This window comes from Homo sapiens, chromosome 6, assembly GCF_000001405.40.
Source record: "Homo sapiens chromosome 6, GRCh38.p14 Primary Assembly".
Lineage (NCBI taxonomy): Eukaryota > Metazoa > Chordata > Mammalia > Primates > Hominidae > Homo > Homo sapiens.
The window spans coordinates 30,377,500-30,379,118 of record NC_000006.12 but is presented as its reverse complement, the minus strand read 5'-3'; the positions used below and the strand labels follow the sequence as shown (position 1 = coordinate 30,379,118).

The window sequence follows — 1,619 nt, the reverse complement described above, 5'->3', positions numbered from 1 at the left end:
CAAATATAAAACATTTAGAAATGAAATACATGATAATATAAAAATCAAGTCTCAATGGATTTTTTCCAAGCAAAGACAATTTGACACAAACACGCTTTTACTGAAGGGAGTTCTAAAGAATATGCTTCAGGCAAAAGGCGAAATCCTGGTTGGAAGATACAAGATAAAAGAAAACATAAATACAAAATAAAAATCAAAAATGAAAGTAAATGTGTGGTTAAATTTAAATTAAGGTGAGGTTAAAAAGGACAGCATATGAGTTTTGAGGGAATATATAGTTAGTTAAAATCTATATCCATTCTCTCTTGTCCATACAATAATGCTGGATTTCTTTTCTTTACATTCTGATCTAAAATTTCAAGATAAACTTCTAAATCATAGTGTTGTCTAATTTGATTTTGCTTTGTACATTTTAGTATAGGGCATATAAAGGGAATATTCTGTGGGTCTTTCTATGTCATCTTTCCAAGGATTGCTGAATCCTTGTAAGTGATGCATGTACAAAGTCATATGTAGAGTTTTCACTAGTGCAGTTTTCCACAGTAAGATTGCCATTTGTAAAGGTGGTGGGACCTGCTAGTTTGTCTTTCAGAACCATGGACAGTTCTACACGTCCTGGGATGTAGGGAGCCAGATCCTCTTTCACCTGGATACCATGATACATCAGGGAGAAAAGTTTAAAAAGAACCTTAATAGTCATGAAACTGTGATTTTAAATATAGTCAGTAACCATAGTCTCAAATACTGCATTCTTCTTCCCCCTCTTCCTGCCCCTAATACTTTATTAGCCATGTATTTCATGGTCATTGCCATAGAAGGACCTGTTTGAGCAGAAGACACGACTTTAGGCCAGTCTTGGCATGACACTATAGTGGCTGAAGAGCAATAGATCTAGAACAAAACTGCCTGGAACTGAATTCTGGCCTCAAATCTTCATAATTGTGTTACCCTGGGCAAGTTACTTAAACTTTCTGAACCTAATTTTCTTGAGCAAGTTACCTATACTTTGTAGACTTCTTGACTTACTTCCTTCCTTCCTTCCTTCCTTCCTTCCTTCCTTCCTTCCTTCCTTCCCTCCCTCCCTCCTTCCTTCTTTCTTTCTTTTGAGACAGAGTTTTGCTCTCTTTGCCCAGACTGGAGTGCAATGGTGCAATCTTAGCTCACCACAACCTCTGCCTCCCGGGTTCAAGTGTTTCTCCCGCCTCAGCCTCCCAAGTAGCTGGAATTACAGGCACCCGCCACCAAGCCCAGCTAATTTTGTATTTTTAGTAGAGACAGGATTTCACCATGTTAGCCAGGCTTGTCTCGAACTCTTGACCTCAGGTGATCCGCCCTCCTCGGCCTCCCAAAGTGCTGGGATTACAGGTGTGAGCCACAACACCCAGCCTAAACTTCATTTCTTTATTGTGGATAAGAACATTTTTTTCATATGGTTGTGATAAATACTGAACAAAATAACTTATGTAGGTACTTAAGCCAATGCCTGGAATACAGCAAGTGCCCTTTAAATGCAGCCACTATTATTATTATAGTTGTTGCTATCGTTATTTTCCATGTAATACATTGAGGACTTTCTTTTTCATAGGTTCCCATGAAGGCTCTCTAAGGACTTGCTGAAT

The 1,619-nt window shown here is 38.5% G+C and overlaps 1 annotated feature.

Moving 5' to 3' along the window:
- Window positions 500–700: a silencer, noted in NCBI's record as "peak5753 fragment used in MPRA reporter construct". NCBI's record gives its function as "represses an SCP1 promoter by STARR-seq MPRAs in K562 erythroleukemia cells {active_cell/tissue: K562}" and the evidence as "EXISTENCE:reporter gene assay evidence [ECO:0000049][PMID:32103011]".